This window comes from Homo sapiens, unplaced genomic scaffold (assembly GCF_000001405.40).
Source record: "Homo sapiens unplaced genomic scaffold, GRCh38.p14 Primary Assembly HSCHRUN_RANDOM_CTG27".
Classification (NCBI taxonomy): domain Eukaryota; kingdom Metazoa; phylum Chordata; class Mammalia; order Primates; family Hominidae; genus Homo; species Homo sapiens.
In genome coordinates, this window is record NT_187505.1 from 47444 (window position 1) to 66405 (window position 18962).

At 38.3% G+C, this 18962-nt stretch overlaps 1 long non-coding RNA gene across 1 annotated transcript in view; it reads left to right on the top strand.

Moving 5' to 3' along the window:
* Window positions 1-15366, top strand: part of LOC105379562 (uncharacterized) — a 29333-nt gene extending 13967 nt beyond the window's left edge. Inside the window, exons 2-3 of the long non-coding RNA XR_951439.3 lie at window positions 4925-5102; window positions 15075-15366. This is a non-coding gene — a long non-coding RNA (uncharacterized LOC105379562). The remainder of the gene's footprint in view (window positions 1-4924; window positions 5103-15074) is intronic.
* Window positions 15367-18962: the final 3596 nt, after the last annotated feature.

The following is an 18962-nucleotide window of genomic DNA, read 5'->3' on the forward strand; positions in this document are numbered from 1 at the left end:
AGTGAACCAGGACTGGAGTGAAAGGTGGAGGGAGGGATGGGGAAAGGCAGGGGGAGCCTGAAAAAATGAATCCTAGGTCTCCCATTCTCACTAGATCAGAATGTTTCTCCATTGTACCTTTTGTACATTTAGCTTTCATTTAAGACTTCTGAGGAAAACATTCTGGTTAAAAAACAAGATCTGAGCACTGTTGCTGTGTATCTCGTGGATAAGTTTTGAGGAAGGAGGTTGTGGTGGTCTCCAGGCTGCAGTTCATGTGAGGACAGGAAGGGCTTGCTTTGACCTGTAAATTTGTATGCCGATAGGGGCTAATTTCCTGACTTTGCTAGTTTTTTTTTTTTTTTCCTTCTGTATTGGGCGAATAGTACTTTTAAATAAAACTAATTTTTTTTGTTTTTTTTGAGATAATAAAGTTGAACTTCATTAAAGTCATACCACAAAACTAGGACAACAGGAAGGATTACTGAAATGAGGGAAAAAATGGAGAAGTCACTTAACTTGTGACTTTGAGTGACATTGTTTGTAATTGTTGAACTCAGGACTCACCATAGCTGAAAGTTAAAAAATGTGCATTAAAAAATTGTACCTCATGGGTTTCTAATCATTTAGGCCACTGTTAGAAAAAAATGGGATGACCCTGGGTTAAAATCTTTTTTTTTTTTGCCTCTGCATTCCACTTATAGCTTTATTTATTTGGGATGTCTGAGTTGGGAGGAGAGCACAGAGATAGATCACTTAAAGCATGTTTTAGGGCAGCAGATCAGAATTAGTTGGAAAACTTTTACAAAATGCATGAACGTTCATATAGTGAAATACTCTGTTTTTGGACAGAGTTTCATTCTTGTTGCCCAGGCTGGAGTGCAATGGCACGACCTCAGCTCACCGCAACCTCTGCCCCTGGTTTCAAGCGATTCTCCTTCCTCAGCCTCTCGAGTAGCTGGGATTACAGGCATGTGCCACCATGCCTGGCTAATTTTTGTATTTTCAGTAGAGACGGGGTTTCAGCATGTTGGTGAGGCTGGTCTCGAACTCTTGACCTCAGATGATCCACCCGCCTCAGCCTCCCAAAATGCTGGGATTACAGGCGTGAGCCACCACATCTGGCCCATGTAGTGAAATTCTCTTTAGCAATAGAAAGAACCATAGATGCATGAGAATAATTGCCAAGATGTATTTTTTTTTGGGGGGGGGCGGAGTCTCGCTCTGTCACCCAGGCTGGAGGTTGGTGATGTGATCTTGGCTCACTGAAAGCTCTGCCAGCTGGGTTCATGCCTTTCTCCCCACCTCAGCGTCTTGAGTAGCTGGGACTACAGGCGCCCACCACCATGCCTGGCTAACTTTTTTGTATTTTTAATAGAGACGGTGTTTCACTGTGTTAGCCAGGATGATCTTGATCTCCTGACCTCATGATCCACCCTCCTCAGCCTCCCAAAGTGCTGGGATTACAGGCATGAGCCACTGCACCAGGCCAACCGAGATGTATTAAGTAATAAAAGCAAGATACAGAACAGTGTGTTTCTAGTATGCCACCATTTACATAGGGGAAAAAGTGTGATTGTATGTATGTGTGGGATATTTCTAAAGGACACTCTAGAAACTAGTAACTTTGGTTGCCTTCTGGGAGGGTAACTGGGTAGCAGCTGGAGGAGAAGGGCAAGGAGATTTTTCACTTTGTATTCTGTGGTACTTTTAAAAACTCTTAAGTCCTGCATATAATGTTTATTTCTAAAAAGATCAACCCTCCCCACAGTGCCACATGTTGGCTTTTCCCCTTCCACCTGGAGCAGTTGCAGATGTATAGATGAGGAGAAAGCTCCTCAGGTGGTTTTAATGTGTGGTCTCACGGAACATCTCACCTTCTCCTAGTTCACTACCTGCTGAGAAAGCCGCAAAGCATTGCAGAAAACATTAGTTTTTCCCATTTTGCCACAGACAATTTTGTGATATTGGAGGAATTATTGACTTTCTCTGATCTTCACATTTCTCACCTGTCAAATCAGTGTTAGTTGGGTAATCTCAACCTTCCAATCCTTAAGATTTGCTGACCTCCATGCCTCGGGCCTTGGAAGGGAACAGGGAGAAAACAGACTGAGGGACAGCTGGTCAGTCTTCTGACTCTTCTCCTGGTCAACTTTCACAACAGCAGGAAATGTGACATCAGGAGAAAGGATGATATATTTATTTAAAATATTTATATATTACATGGTACCACATGCAGTTTTTAAAGTTCTTTTTTTTTTTTTTTTTTTTTGAGATGGAGTCTGGGCCCCTCACCCAGGCTGGAGTGCAGTGATGCCATCTCACCTCACTGCAACCTCCGCCTCCCAGCTTCAAGTGATTCTCCTGCCTCAGCCTCCCAAGTAGCTGGGTTTACAGGTGTGTGCCACCATGCCCGGCTAATTTTTTGTATCTTTAGTAGAGACTGGGTTTCACCATGTTGACCAGGCTGGCCTTGAACTCTGACCTCGTGATCTGCCCACGTTGGCCTCCTAAAGTGCGTGAGCCACCACGCCTGGCCTTAAAGTTCTTTCTATACATTTTTTCTTTTATTTTTTGGGTCAGAGTTTCATTGTATCACTCAGGCTGGAGTGCAGTGGCACAATCATGGCTCACTGCAGTCTTGACCTCCTGGGCTCAAGTGATCCTCCTGCCTCAGCCTCCCAGGTAGCTGGGACCATGGGTGTGTACTGTATGCCTGACTAATTATTTTTTCTTTTTCTTTTTTTTTTTTTTTGAGACAGAGTCTCGCTCTGTCACCCAGGCTGGAGTGCAGTGGTCCGATCTCGGCTCACTGCAAGCTCCACCTCCTGGGTTCATGCCATTCTCCTGCCTCAGTCTCCCGAGTAGCTGGGACTACAGGTGCCCACCACCACGCCCGGCTACTTTTTCGTATTTTTAATAGAGACAGGGTTTCACCGTGTTAGCCAGGATGGTCTCGATCTCGTGACCTCACGATCCGCCCGCCTCGGCCTCCAAAAGTGCTGGGATTACAGGTGTGAGCCACCGCACCTGGCCGCCTAACTAATTATTATTATTATTTTAATTTTCTTGTAGAGATAGTTCTGGCTTCATTGCCCATTCTGGTCCTGAATACCTGGCCTTAGGAGATCCTCCTATCTTGACTTCCCAAAATGCTGGGATTACAGGTGTGAGCCACTGTGGCCAGCCTATAAGTTTTGTTTTAAAGTTAGATTGAATGACAATTCCCTAGAAAATTTTATTTTCTAAACCTAACTGGATAAAGAATATATTGATAAAAACTGGGAAATTGATCAATTTGTCATACTGAATTATTTTTTGAATTTGCCCTCTTCCCAAATACCTTGAAATGATGGAAACAAAATTAAAACTTTACTAATAAAGTATTAAATGGGTGAAGATTTTATATATATAAAATTATATCTGTTATATTTTTATGTATGCAATTATATAGTTTTCATCTTATATTTAAATTCTATTTTTTTAAAACCACCCAATTAGGTAATAATAGAACTCCGGTCTTAAAGTAAGAGTGTATGTACACACATGCACATGTGTATATGTGTATATAAAATTTTTGTCTTGGGAGTTTTATATATAATTAAGATAGAAATTATATATTATTGCACACATTTTTACACATATGTAATATTCTCTACCATATGTATGTAAAATACACCCATATGAATTATGTATAACATAAATATTTGTGTTATCCTGAAACATAAACGTAGATAATCATGTTTTAGAATGGGAATACTCAGGAGTATAGGGGTACCTGTTCTCCCATTAGTCAGTCTGTGAATTCAATATTTATGTTTTCTCATCCAGAATTTCTCTGGGACCTGACAAGCTGACTCTCATGCTTGTGTGTAAGAGGAAATGTTCTAGAATAGCTGGGAAGGTGGTGAAAGTAGCAGCAACAACGAAGCACAGTGAGGTGAAACTTGCCCTGCTGGATATGAAACCTCGTAATACTAGAGTAATTTGAAAAGTGTGGCATTGGCACAGGAAAAGACAGACAAATCAAATTAGTCTAGAATTGTGGACAAGTAGGAATAGAGTTTATAATGAGGATGGCTTTCTTTTTCTTTCTTTCTTTTTTTTTTTTTTTTGAGATGAAGTCTCACTCTGTTTCCCCAGCTGGTGTGCAATGGTGTGATCTCGGCTCACTGCAACCTCCGCCTCCCAGGCTCAAGCAATTCTCCTGCCTCAGCCTCCCAAGTAGCTGGGATTACTGGCGCATGTCACCATGCCCCGTTAATTTTTGTATTTTTAGTAGAAAAGAAGTTTCACCATGTTGGCCAGGCTGGCCTCGAACTCCCGACCTCAAGTGATCTTCCCGCCTCAGCATCCCAGAGTGCTGGGATTACAGGAGGAGCCACCGCTCCTGGCCTTTTTTTTCTTTATTTGCTATTTCAGTTCCATAGAAGCAAGCAAAGAGTAAGATAACAAATATCCATCTACCTACCATCTGTGATTACAAAACTTAGTATTTTATCATCCTTGCTTCACAATTATTTAATAAAGACAATACTTCCTCTGCACAAATGCTTACCTTAAAACTACTCTTGAATTCTTTTCACAATTGACTTATCAACTCCCAAATTTAAAACCATGTATTTTTGTCTTTATATGCCTTAGACATTTATAGAAAGGTATTTACTGAGCAGTTACTATGTGCCAGATATTATGCTGTTTTTATATACTGTTTTTACTTTATATAGCTAATTATATTATTTGTCACATATTAACCTATTTTAAATATAAAAAGAAATGATGCATTAATGTTTTCAAACCTTGGTAACTTTTATTAAGTAAATACCTGAGAGGAAGCTTTTCCTGGTAATTGTGGTTTTATTTATGTATCTATAGTTATAATTTATTAGAAGTACACTTGGTGTTTTAGTTCTTATTAATTCTATTTTTTTCCCATCCTGTTTAGATGGTTTCCTAGAAACATGATTGTTTATTGGCGTTGATCTCACAGTCTGGTGAGAACTTCTTTACTGATAATGTCAAGTTCAGTTTATCCTCCCAACCAAGGAGCATTCAGCACAGAACAAAGTCGTTCTCCTCCTCACTCTGTAAAGTATACGTTTCCCAGCACCCACCACCAGCAGGTAAGGAACAAATACTATGCAAATTGCACGTTTTTTTGTTTTTCTTTACTTTTCCTATTTAATACACATGTTGGTAGAAACCACCAAATTTGCCTTTTTTTTTAAGTGGCAAGAGCTATTTACAAAGACAAGGAACCAAAGGTTGGGAATTAATTATTTCTGTCTTCTTACTGTGGCTTTATGCCGATTTCAGGAGTTGAACTTGTCTTTGTTTTGATGACAGGAGTTGATGATAAATAGAAAACTTATCAATTCTCTAGAATTTCTAGGGTAAGACCTATATTTATACTCCCAAGTTGTGGTTGAGTTTTAAGCTGGCTAGATAACTTGGCATGTCTTGAGTGATGGCCAGGATAAAGACCTCTGTCTTCTTGAGAGATTGATGGTAGGAAGATTTGCATAGTAGGTAGGAAGGAAGGAAGGGATGGTAGATAGGAAGGAAGACTTTATTATAGGAAGAGTTTGTAAGAGATTGATTTACCTTGTGAAAAATAAAGTATGAGGTGAAATAATCATCTCAGAGTAGACCAAAGATATGGATGTAAGAGGTTTAAAGAAAAATAGGAAAGGATGGGATAAAACGGTCATCTCAGAGACTAAGAAAGCAGATTTGTCATCAAAATGTACTACGGGGTCCTACTGAGGACTCCTTTGAAGTGTAGTCATGATTACAGAGTTAGAATGGACATTCCTACGATGTTCCTGTGTAGGGAGGCATTTAGTCTTTTACCATTACGTGTAACGTTAGTTGCACATTTTTGTTGATGCCTTTTTTGGTTGAAGAGGTTGCTTTCTGTTCCTAGTTTGAGAATTTCTGTCATGATTGGTGTTGAATTTTGCTTGTGTTGTCCCCCTACCCCAGTGTTATTCATCTGATTACCAATTTTCCGGATTATTGTTGCTGCTGGTTTTTTCATAAAATCAGGCCGGGCGCAGTGGTTCACGCCTGTAATCCCAGCACTTTGGGAGGCTGAGGCAGGTGGATCACTTGAGGTCAGGAGTTTGAGACCAGCCTGGCCAACATTGTGAAACCCCGTCTCTACTAAAAATACGAAAAAATTAGCCAGGCATCGTGGCAGGCACCTGTAATCCCAGCTACTTGGGATGCTGAGGCTGGAGAATCGCTTGAACCCGGGAGGCAGAGGTTGCAGTGAGCCAAAATCGTGCCGGTGCACTCCAGCCTGGGCAACAAGAGTGAAACCCCATCTTAAAAGAAACAAAATTAACTTTGCAGTTTAGTTTATATATATATATACACATATATCTATATTAGAATGCACTCATTATATGTGTACATTGTAACAAATTTTGACAAATTCATAAACTCATAGAACCATCACCAAAATGAAGATGAACAACATTTCTAACACTCCAGCACGTTCCTTGGCACCCCATCCTCCTTGGCACCCACCCGTGTCAGTCCTCCTCCCCCAATTCCTACTAACCTCAGCTCCTAGGAAACCACTGATCTGCTTTCTATCATAAAACATTGTATACATTCTGAGCTTCATGGGAACTCTTTTGTCTATGACCTCTTTTGCTTCCCATAATACTTCTGTGATCTATCCATGTCTGGCATGTCTCAGTTCATTCCTTTTTATTGTTGAGTATGGGTATACCACAATTTGTTTATCCAGTCACCTATTCCAGTTTTTGATTATTATAGATAAAATTACTTAGAAAACATATATCTATATATTGTATCTAGATTATTAAAAGAAGTTTTGCCTCATTTTCTTAACAGTATCCTTTGGAGAGCATACATTTTTTATTTTTATCAAGTCCGATGTAGTTTATTTTTTGAGACAGAGTCTTGCTCTGTCGCCTAGTCTGGAGTGCTATGGTGCCATCTCAGCTCACTGCAACCTCTGCATCCCAGGTTCAAGCAATTCTCCTACCTCAGCCTCCTGAGTAGCTGGAATTACAGGCATGTGCCACCACACCCAGGTAATTTTTGTATTTTTAGTAGAGATGGAGTTTCACCATGTTGGCCAGGCTGGTCTCGAACTCCTGACCTCAGGTGATCCGCTCTCCTCAGCCTTCCAAAGTGCTGGGATTACAGGTGTGAGCCACTACACCCAGCCCCGATGTACTATTTTTATTGTTCATTTTTTGTGCTTTTTGTGTCAAACCTAAGACGTTTTTGCCAAATTCAAGGTCACTAAGATTTTCACTTACGTTTTCTTTTTTTCTATTTTTGTTTTGTTTTGTTTTTGTTTTTGTTTTTGTTTTTTTGAGACAAAATCTTACTCTGTTGCCCAGGCTGGAGTGTAGTGGGGCAATCTCGGCTCACTGCAAGCTCTGCCTCCTGGGTTCACACCATTCTCCTGCCTCAGCCTCCCGAGTAGCTGGGACTACAGGCGCCCACCACCACGCCCAGCTAATTTTTTTTGTATCTTTAGTAGAGATGAGCTTTCACTGTGTTAGCCAGGATGGTCTCAATCTCCTGACCTTGTGATCCACCTGCCTCGGCCTCCCAAAGTGCTGGGATTACAGGTGTGAGCCATCGCGCCCGACCAATTTTCACTTATGTTTTCTTCTCTAAGTTTTATAATTATAGGTGTTTCATTTAGGTAAATTACCTATTTTGAATTAAAATTTTATATGTGGTGTGGTAAGCGTTGAGTTTCAGTCTTTCTGCATTAAGAATGATGTTAGCTTGGAGAGTGCTCTTTACTCCTGTGTTTTCTTTTCTTAAGGGGTTTGTGTAGGATTGGTACTTTTCTTTGAAATGGAGTCTTGCTCTGTCATCCAGGCTGGAGTGCAGTGGTACAATCTCAGCTCACTGCAACCTCCATCTCCCGGGTTCAAGTGATTCTACTGCCTCAGCCTCCTGAGTAGTTGGGATTACAGGTGCGTGCCACCACACCTGGCTAATTTTTGTATTTTCAGTAGAGATGGGGTTTCACCATGTTGGCTAGGCTGGTCTCGAACTTCTGAACTCAAGAGATCTGCCCGACTCAGCCTCCCAAAATATTGGGATTATAAGCATGAGCCACTGCGCCTGGCCTTTTCTCTTTCTTTCTTTCTTTCTTTCTTTCTTTCTTTCTTTCTTTCTTTCTTTATTTCTTTCTCTTTCTTTCTTGGCTTTCTTTCTTTTTTTTCTTTTTCTTTCTTCCTTTCTTTCTCTCTCTCTCCTCTTTCTCCTCTTTCTTTCTTTGAGTCTCACTCTGTCACCCAGGTTAGAGTGGGCAATTGCGTGATCTCGGCTCACTGCAACCTCTTCTTCGTGGTTCAAGCAATTCTCCTGCTTCAACCTCCCAAGTAGCTGAGATTACAAGCGCCCACCACCATGCTTGACAAATTTTTTGTACTTTTAGTACGGTTTTGCCATGTTGGCCAGGCTGGTCTCGAACTCCTGACCTTAGGTGATCTACCCGCCTCAGCCTCCCAAAGTGCTGGGATTTCAGGTGTCAGCCCACCACGTGGTGGTTGGGATTGATACTTTTTCAACCTTAGATATTTGATAGAATTTATCAATGAAACTTGGTCCCAGATTTTTTTTTCTGGGAAGAATTTAAATATGAATTAAATTTCTTTAATAGTTATAATTCAGATAATTTTTTCTTGAGTCAGTTTGGGTATATTTTGTTGTTTAAGGTATCAGATTTATTGACATAATTTGTCTCAATATTTCCTCATCATTTCAGTGCCTTTGAGATATGTTGCTATGTTGTTAATCATGTTGATAATGTTTGTTTTTATTATTTTTTAATCAGTCTGCCTAGAGGTTTATCAGTTTAAAAGATTTTTGAAGAACTAGCTTTGGTTTCAATCATTTTCACTATTTTTCTATTTCACTGATTTCTACTCTTTATTTTTTTTTCCTTCTCTAATTGCCTGTGTATATATCATCACTTCATTCTTTTTGTGTATTCAAGTTTTCTTCTGATATTATTGTGTTTTTGCCTGAAGCACTTCATTTCTCTCAGTTTAGGTCTTTTGGCAATTAATTCTCTCAGCTTTTATTTGCCTGAAAATGTTTTTATTTCTGAAGACTATTTTCACTAGATAGAGAATTCTAAGTTGACAGTTTCAGTATTTTAAGAGATGTCATATCATTGTATTCTGGTTTGTATGGTTTCTGACTAGAAGCCTGAGGTCATTCTTAATTTTTGCTCATTAATATATAAAACACATTTTCCCCCCTGTGGCTACTTGTTTTTTTTTTTTTTTTTTTTTTGAGGCATTCTTGCTCTGTCATTCAGGCTGGAGAGCAGTGGTACGATCTCAGCCCACAGCAACCTCCACCTCCCAGGTTCAAGCAATTCTCATGCCTCAGCCCCCTGAGTAGCTGGGGCTGCAGGCATGCACTACCATGCCCAGCTACTTTTTTTGTTTTTTTGTTTTGAGACAGAGTTTCACTCTTGTTGCCCAGGCTGGAGTGCAATGATGCGATCTTGGCTCACCACAACCTCCGCCTCCTGGGTTCAAGTGATTCTCCTGCCTCAGCCTCCCAAGTAGCTGGGATTACAGGCATGCACCACTATGCCCGGCTAATTTTGTATTTTTAGTAGAGATGGGATTTCACCATGTTGGTCAGGCTGGTCTCGAACTCCTGACCTCAGGTGATCCATCCACCTCAGCTTCCCAAAGTGCTGAGATTACAGGCATGAGCCACTGTGCCCGGCCCCAGCTAATTTTTTGTATTTTTAGTAGGGACAAGTTTCCACTATGTTGGCCAGGCTGGTCTCGAACTCCTGGCCTCAAGTGATCTGCCTGCCTAACATATTCTAATACTTTTCCCAGAGTCTTTTTGTTTCAATTTTTCTTTTTTTTAAGCATACTGAAATTTAAAATGTTTTTACTGCCATCAAATATTTTTTCTATGTTTGTTAACCTTTATGCCTGATTGCCCTTTCTTCCCTGATATCAGATAAATAAGTACCCACACATTTTCTTTGAGTTTTCATGCAATGAAGAGTAATTTAAAAGATAATAAATGTATCTACAATTTATTTTCAAATAGTTCAGCCAAAATGAAGTTTTATAAACATACACAGACACACACAGAAAGTAAATATGTTAAAATGTTAACTACTGGTGAATCTAGATGAAGGATAAATGAGTGTCCATTATACTGTTCCTTCAACTTTTAAGTGAATTTGAAATTTTTCAAAATAGTAAGTTGGATGGGGAAATATTCTTTGCCATAAGCTAGAAATTAGCTAAGCTTCTAGGTGTCTTGTGACCCACCTTATCATTTGAAATATCCTTATCCTACAGTAGTCTGTGGGGTTTATAAGAAGTGTTCTGCTGCATTAAAAAAAAGAAATTTAAAAATATAGTGAATAAAGGTCATCTTCCATGGCTGAATACATTACCAAAAATGTAATTTATAGAATTTCGTTTTTTAGCAGACAAGTGTCTTAAAAACTCATTCATTAAAATGAGATGTGTTGTGTGGTAGTGTGACCCATTTCCATGTTATAGTTGAGAAACTGGGTGTTCAGAAAAATTAAGTGACCTAGGTAGTACCTCCTGAGCTGGAATTAACCCAGGACCCCTGACTCTAGTCCTGCTTTTTTTCCTCTAAAGTGTAAACCATGACTACTACTACTAACTAATACTTCTCTTTCCATCTCCCTCTCCCCATTCTCTCCCAACTGCCCACCTCCAGAAGTAAGTATTTAAAAAGAACTAACATTTGTTAGATTTTTTTTAAATGTTAAGCCTAGGTATATCATTTATAGAAGAATTAAATAAGCTTGAAAGAAAAAATTACCTGCAGTTTTACCAGTTAAAAGTTATTAACATTTTCATGTTGATTCTTCCCTATTTGTGTGTGTATTATTTTAATTTTAGTTTAATTTAATTTTATGGGTTTTTTTTTTGTTTTTTGTTTTTTTTTGCTGCTGCTCCTTGTGTAACAGGGCTAACCCATAGGCAGTGTGTCCAGAGTCGGCCCGTATGAATGTTTTAATGTGCTCACTTTGTACATTCTGTTTAACTTTACTTTTGCTTAAATACGTGCTTAACTTCTTTTTGTGTCAATAAGTTTACAACTGTATTGTTAGTGGCTACTTAGTATTCCACATATGAATAAATAAAGTTATTTATTTAATCAATTTTCATACATTTAGGTTGCCTGTTTGTTCAGAAGTACGGTGTTGTGACATGCATTTTTTTTTTTTTTTTGAGATGGAGTCTCACTTTGTTGCCCAGGCTGGAGTGCAGTGGCATGATCTTGGCTCACTGCAACCTATACCTCCCAGCGATTCTCCTGCCTCAGGCTCCCAAATAGCTGGGACTACAGGTGCATGCCACCAAGTTCAGCTAATTTTTGTATTTTTAGTGGAGACGAGGTTTCACCATGTTAGCCAGGCTGGTCTCGAACTCCTGACCTCAGGTGATCTGCACACCTTGGCCTCCCAAAGTGCTGGGATTACAGGCATGAGCCACTGCAGCTGGCCCGTACATTATTTAGCTTGTTTTTTCTGTATGCATTCTTACTTGTTTCCTTAAGGTAGATTTCTTTTAGTATAATTAATTACAGACCAGGTTGATTTTTAAGGTTCAGTGGGTATTTCCAGATTGTCCTGCAAAAGAGTAGGGCCAGTTCTTAACTCCTGACAACAGTGTATAAAGGTACCCACTTCTTGGCCGGGCATGGTGGCTCACGCCTGTAATCCCAGCACTTTGGGAGGTTGAGGCAGGCAGATCACCAGAGGTCAGGAGTTCGAGACCAGCCTGGCCAACATAGTGAAACCCCGTCTCTACTAAAAATACAAAAATTAGCCAGGTGTGGTGGCCGGTGCCTGTAATCCCAGCTACTCAGGAGGCTGAGGCAAGAGAATCGCTTGAACCTGGGAGGCAGAGGTTGCAGTGAGCTGAGATTGTGCCACTGCACTCCAGCCTGGGGGACAAGAGTGAGATGTCGTCTCAAAAAAATAAAAATAAAAAAAAATAAAGGTACCCACTTCTTCTGTATCCTTGCTGACACCACATGTTTATCGTTTAACAAAAAGATTGTTAATTTGATGAATGATTGTTTTTAAATTAAACGTATTATTTGTTAGTAAAATTTAACATTTTTTTATTTGTTTATTGGTTATTTTTCCTGTTTTGTAAATTGATTTTTCATATATGTTGCCCATTTTTCTGTTGGTTTATTTTATATTGAGTTGTTAGAGTGCATGTTTGGCAAATGGTTTTCCTATTTAATCATTTGCCTTTTTAATTTGTTGTTACTGTTTTGATAAGCAGAAGATTGTGTTTTTGCATGTGTGGTTTTTGTTGTTGTTGTTGTTGTTGTTGTTTTTGAGATGGAGTCTTCCTCTGTCACCCAGGTTGGAGTGCAGTGGTGCCATCTCTGCTCACCACAACCTCCGCTTCCCGGGTTCAAGCCATTCTCCTGCCTCAGCCTCCCAAGTAGCTGGGATTACAGGCTTGCACCAGCACACCTGGCTGATTTTTGTACTTTTAGTAGAGATGGGGTTTTACCATATTGCCCAGGCTGGTCTCGAACTCCTCACCTCAAGTGATCTGCCTGCCTCGGCCTCCCAAACTGCTGGGATTACAGGTGTGAGCCATCATGCCCAGCAGAAGACTGTTTTTTATTTTATCCATCAATTTTTCTTTTTTAAAAACTAATGTATTTTTTATCTTTTGCTTTTGGCTTTCCTGAACCCACGATAATGTGAATCTTTTTTTTTTTTAATTTGAGGCTTTTTGTGATTTGCTAATAAGCCTCTTATAAATGTTTGCTATTACTTGGCTTTTTTAATGTAAGATATGAGGTAAGAATCTAACTCTTTTTTCTTCAGGATTGGTATCTTGCTGTTTCAACCCAAGATTGTAAACTTCATGAAGGGAGATATCTTGTCTGTTTTGATCCACCACCCTATTCCTGTTATATAAGTAGGCACTTGAGGATTTGGTTTCTTATTAAATATTTAATATTTAGAAAGGAAGTCAGTGGAAAATATTCATTTGTAATATTAATTCTTTGCATCAGAATATTAATCTTTGCATCTGATGCATCAGATGCATCAGAATCACCTGAGGAGCACTTTTGAAGTCTGCTGATTCAAAATGTAATCTCTTTTTCTGTTATATATGTTTCTGTAACACAAATTTGCTCATATGCATATAGTGGGAGAATGACATTAATGTATCATGAAAGTCCTGGTAGTTCACCAAAGATCTTTCTTTATGCATTAACATTTCTAAGTTCTCAGGAGTATGCTGTCTCATAATGAAAGAAAAAGGCTTCACAACACATGAAGACTTAAGAATATTTGAACATTCTGCATTTAGTTTTCATTTAGTGCAAATAGTAGCTGGTTTAGTGAATTTAAGAACTGTCGTGCTTTTCACAGTGTTAGTGAAGATTCAAGCATTGAAAAGACAATGTGAAGACAAATTTTCTTGTATTTTTTTTAGCGTTGATAAAGGAGGGAGGGGGAGAAAAAGAGGTTGATAAACATGGTTATATGCCAAATCTGATTTTTTTTCTTTTTTTTGAGATGGAGTCTCCCTCTGTCACCCATGCTGGAGTGCAGTAGTGCAATCTCAGCTCACTGCAACGTTTCCCTCCTGGGTTCAAGCCATTCTCCTGCCTCAGCCTCCCGAGTAGCTGGGACTACAAGTGCCCGCTACCACACCCAGCTAATTTTTGTATTTTTTAGTAGAGACGGGGTTTAACCATGTTGGTGAGGCTGGTCTCGAACTCCTGACCTTGTGATCTACCTGCCTTGGCATCCCAAAGTGCTGGGATTACAAGCATGAGCCACCATGCCCGGCCACTGATATTTTATTTAGATGAAACATACTGGTTTATTTTGGAAGCCAATGACCTCACGGATTTACATCTTAAGAGAGGAATCATAAACTCTAGGGCTTAAAGCTGCCAAAGATTGATTGTATGCCAGATGCAAAGGATACTGGAGCTTTAACTCTATTAAGTCTATTAGAATTGTTATTGCTTTTATTGGTGCTTTCCTTACAGAACTGTACAGGTTTTAGGGTATAGCCATAATCTTATTTTCCCAGAAGGCCTCTCAGATTCAGTGCATACTATTACAGAATATGAGGCTTTTCATCAGTGTATATTAGCTGAAATATCTGTACTACGGTGTTTTGAAGCAACTGTCCAGTTATCTCCTGTAGGCATTCTTGGCTCAGAACTATTGACTTTTCACAGTTCCTTAATCATTATTTAATACATTTTAGGGTTCTGTAATCCTGTGAACTACCCTCATTGTAGGTTTCTGATAGTCTAAGTAAAATTAGTGCTCTAAACTTTATGTTTTATAATATTGCTTATATCTTTACAGCAGACTGGAAATTAATAGGGTGTGTGTGGATGTGTGTTGGAGTGGATTTTGGGTGAAGGGGCTTTCATTCTGCTACAGCTCTGCTGATTTGGAGGTGCAGTGGGATGTTTTTGGCTAAGGAAATGTTACGTATGCTGTAGTGTGGGCTTTATGGAAGTAGGCCCAGAGATAGTAGCAGCTGAAGTTCCTAGGTCACTTCTCTGACTCGTGTACCTCAGTTTTGGTTTGGAAAGCCTGAAAACTTCTGATAGGAACACTTGGCCATGTTATAGTTGTTAAGTTGGGTGGACACACAGGTTTTACCTGGAATAATACTATTTCCCAGCCAGTGGTTCAGACCATTTGAAGAGCCATTGCAAGGAAATGGCTGAGAAGTTGGTATCTTCGTCATGATTGCATTATTTACCTATAAATTCTCTATAATTTCAGTATTGTTACACTAGAGGCTGATCAGCACTAACTCACCTGACTTTGTATAGCTTTTAGGCTCTTCAAAATAGTACATGGTATATCTAAACTATAAAAGTGAGGTGAGAATTTGCATATATGTAAATATGAAAGTTACTGCTAAAGGTTTCATTAGACACATATTACACATGGCTCTGCTGTGGTTTAAAACTGACTGTTTCATTTAAGGCAATCTGGACTCTATTAGTGAGAAATGAATTGTTTTTCTTGGTTTTATTCTCTAAAGGATCCAGCATTCGGAGGCAAACATGAAGCTCCATCCTCTCCAATTTCGGGGCAACCATGTGGAGATGATCAAAATGCTTTACCTTCAAAACTTTCAAACGAAGAGTTAATACAAAGTATGGATCGTGTAGATTGAAAAATTGCAAAAGTAGAACAGCAGATCCTTAAACTGAAAAAGAAACAAGTAAAAGTCTTTGCCTAATATATTCTAAGAATGTATGTTTTTCTCCCTACAGAAGATAATTTTGAGTTTTCCATATTTTGAAACTTTACATAAAAGGAATCATGCCTTACGTATTCTGACTTGCTGTTTTTTGCTACTATTGTGGTTTTCTTACATTCATTCATTTTCCTTGCTGCACTGTCTGATTATATGATTGCAGAGAGTGAAATTTGTTTTTCCATTCTATTTTTGATTTTTTTTTGATAATCCATACAATGGTGCTGGTTTTTGGTTCACATGTAGAGATTTTCCAGGGCATGTGCCCAGGATTGGCAGTGCTTGGCCCAAGATTATGCACAGTGAACTATTTAATAGATGATACCAAATTTGCTAAGAAGTAACACCATTTTATATTCCCACTGGCAGCTTATGTGGGTACTTATTTGTGCACATTCTTGCCTTTACTTGATATCATTTTTTCAGTTGGATATGAAATAGTCTTGTGTGGTTTGGAAGGAGGCTGAGCTTATTTTCATTTGTTTATGAGTTATTTGGGTTCCTTATGTGCATTGTTCAAGTCTTTTGTCTATAGTCTCCTATTTCATCATTGAAACTTTTAGGATTTCCTGAAGTCCCTTGTCAGATATGTGTATAGAAGATTTGCCTAGTTTGAGGCCTGTCACTTCACTTTTAGCCCAGTATCCACTCTAAGTGTACACTAAGTGCCTTTTTTTTTCCAGATTTGGAGTCTCACTCTGTCACCCAGGCTGGAGTGCAGTGGTGTGATGTTGGCTCACTGCAACCTCTGCCTCCCAGGTTCAAGCGATTCTCCTGCAACAGCTTCCCGAGCAGCTGGGACTGTAGGCGCTTTAAGTGCTTTTAATGTATTCATAAAGTTGTACAGCTATCACAACTCTCTAATTCTAGAACATGTTTATCATTTCAAAAAGAAACTCCATACCTACTAGCAGTTACTCCCCATTTCCCCCTTTTCCCAGCCCCTGGCAACCACTAGTCTATTCTCTGTCTCTATGGACTAGCATATGCCAAATACCAGAAAAAACAGAATCATATGTGACCTTTTGTGTTTGGCTTCATTTATTTACCATGTTGTCCTGATTCATCCATGTTGTATCTTGTCTCAGCACTTCATTGCTTTATATGCCTGAATCCCATTGCATGAGTATACTGTTTTGTTTATCCATTTATTAGTTGATGGATATTTGAGTTGTGTTCATTTTTTGACTATCATTAATAATGTACTGTGATGAGATTCATGTACTCGTTTTTGTGTGGACGTATTTTTACAATTTTCTTTATGTATCTAGGAGTGGGCGTATGGTAAATCTATGTTTAAATTTTTGAAAAACTTCAAAACTGTGTTCCAAAGTCTCTGTACCATTTTATATTATTACCAGCAGCGTACGGAGGTTCCATTATTTCCTACCTCCTTGCCAACATCTGTTATTTTCCTTTTTTAAAAAAATATAGCCATACTTGTAGATGTGAAGTGGTATCTAGTTGTAGTTTTCATTTGCATATCCTTAATGACTAATGATGTTGAGCATCTTTTCATGTGCTGATTGGTGATTTGTATATCTTTTTAGAGAAATGTTCATTTAGATTGTTTGCTCATTTAATTGTGTTGTCTTTTTGTTATTCTAAGAATTCTTTATATATTCTGGACATTAGTTCCTCATCAGATGTATGACTTAATAGATATTTTCTCTCATTCTGTGAGTTCTTTTCACTTTCCTGATGGTATCCTTTGATGTACAAAAGTTTTGAATTTTGTTAAAGTCCAGTTTGTTTTTCCTTTTGTCACTCTTGCATTTGGTGTTGTATCTAAGACCCATTGCCTAATTCACGGTCACAGATTTATACCTATGTTTTCTTCTACAAATTTTATAGTTTTACCCCTTATAGTTGGGTCTTTGATCCTGATAGTGTTTTTTTGGTGAACAGAATTTGTTTAGGTTTTACATGAAAACCCACTGGGGCTATTAAGGTAGTTTTACTATATTATCTTTAGAAGTTTTATGATTTTCCTTTTCATCTTATTGCTAATCCACTGGAAACTACATGTTGTATAGTCAGTGTTCATTTATATTTACTCACATATTTGTCTTCTTACGTACTCACTATCTATTCTCGCAACTCAAGTCTTCCATCTAGGGGAACACCCTTCTACTGAAGAACGTCTCTTAGAATTTCCTTTAGTGAAGGTCTCTTAGTTAGCAAATTCAGTATTTGTTTGGTTTTTATGACTTAAATATTGTCTTATATTTGGCCTGTTTATTAAAAGATATACTAATTTCGTATGTGATTATTTTTTCTTAGTACATTGTCTTCCTGCTTCCATTTTTAAGACATTAGCTCTTGGTCTAAATCCATATTCTTTCATGGATAATGTGAATTTTCTCTCGGTTGTTTTCAATATATTCTTTTCTTCAGGGTTCTGTTATTTTTATGATGATATATTTAGGTGTTTTTTTTTTCCTTTTAAATCTGTCCAACTTGAGCTTCATGAATATGAAGGGTGGAGTTTTTCATCATTTTGAGAAAATTCCAAGCCATTATCTTTTTTACAAAACCTTTCTAACAGTTTATTATTTTACTTATGAAATCCTGTTAGTTGTAATATCTTGTCACTCTTGTCTTCCATGTCTCTTGTTTTTTTCTTATTTTTTTACTTCTTTGGGCTTCATTCTGAGCAATTTCTTCAGCCTGTCTTCCAGTTTACATTTTCCTTTTCAATTATATGTAATCTGCTGTCGAATCTGTCTTCAATTTCAACAATTATGTTTTTATTTCTGGAATTTCTATTTGGCTCCTTCTCAAATCTGCCTGGTCATTTTTTAAAATGTTTTTTGCTTTCATTGAGTTGTATTAAATTTTTGTTATATGCCCAACAATTCTAATTAAGTCTTTATTGGTTTGGATTTGCTGAGTCTCTTTTCTTTTTTCTTTTGTCTTTATTTTCTTTACTTGTACAATGGTAATCTAGTAATAACACCAACTAAATCACATGATTGTTTTATGAATTGAGATAATGAATATATTGCATAATATGTGGTACATAGTAAATGTATATGCAATCCATTATAATAATTAGAAATAATGAAATATAATGTATGATTATTATGAAATATACCAGAGCCACAAATTTTATTGAGCGATACAAAGGACAACTAGAGAAAACAAAGAAATATGCCATAGCTGGATGGAAAGAGTAATAATAATGTTGTGTGTTCATCTTGGACTAAATCATGTCTCATATAATTTCAATAAAATTCCAATTAAATTCATTTTTAGAACATGGCAAATATATTGTAAAGTTAATGTAAAAGAACAAACAGGGCCAGGCTCAGTGGCTCAACCTGTAATCCCAGCACTTTAGGAGGCTGAGGCGGGCATATCACGAGTTCAGGAGATCGAGACCATCCTGGCTAACACGGTGAAACCCCATCTCTACTATAATACAAAAAATTAGCCAGGCGTTGTTGCAGGCGCCTGTAGTCCCCGCTACTCAGGAGTCTGAGGCAGGAGAATGGCGTGAACCCAGGAGGAGGAGCTTGTGGTGAGTGGAGATCACGCCACTGCACTCAAGCTTGGGCGACAGGGCGAGATTCCATCTCAAAAATAAAATAAAATAAAAAAAGAAAAAGAATTTGTGTCTTGTTTCCTCATTAATGTTGGTTGAAAGCATGTTGACACTTGTCTTTG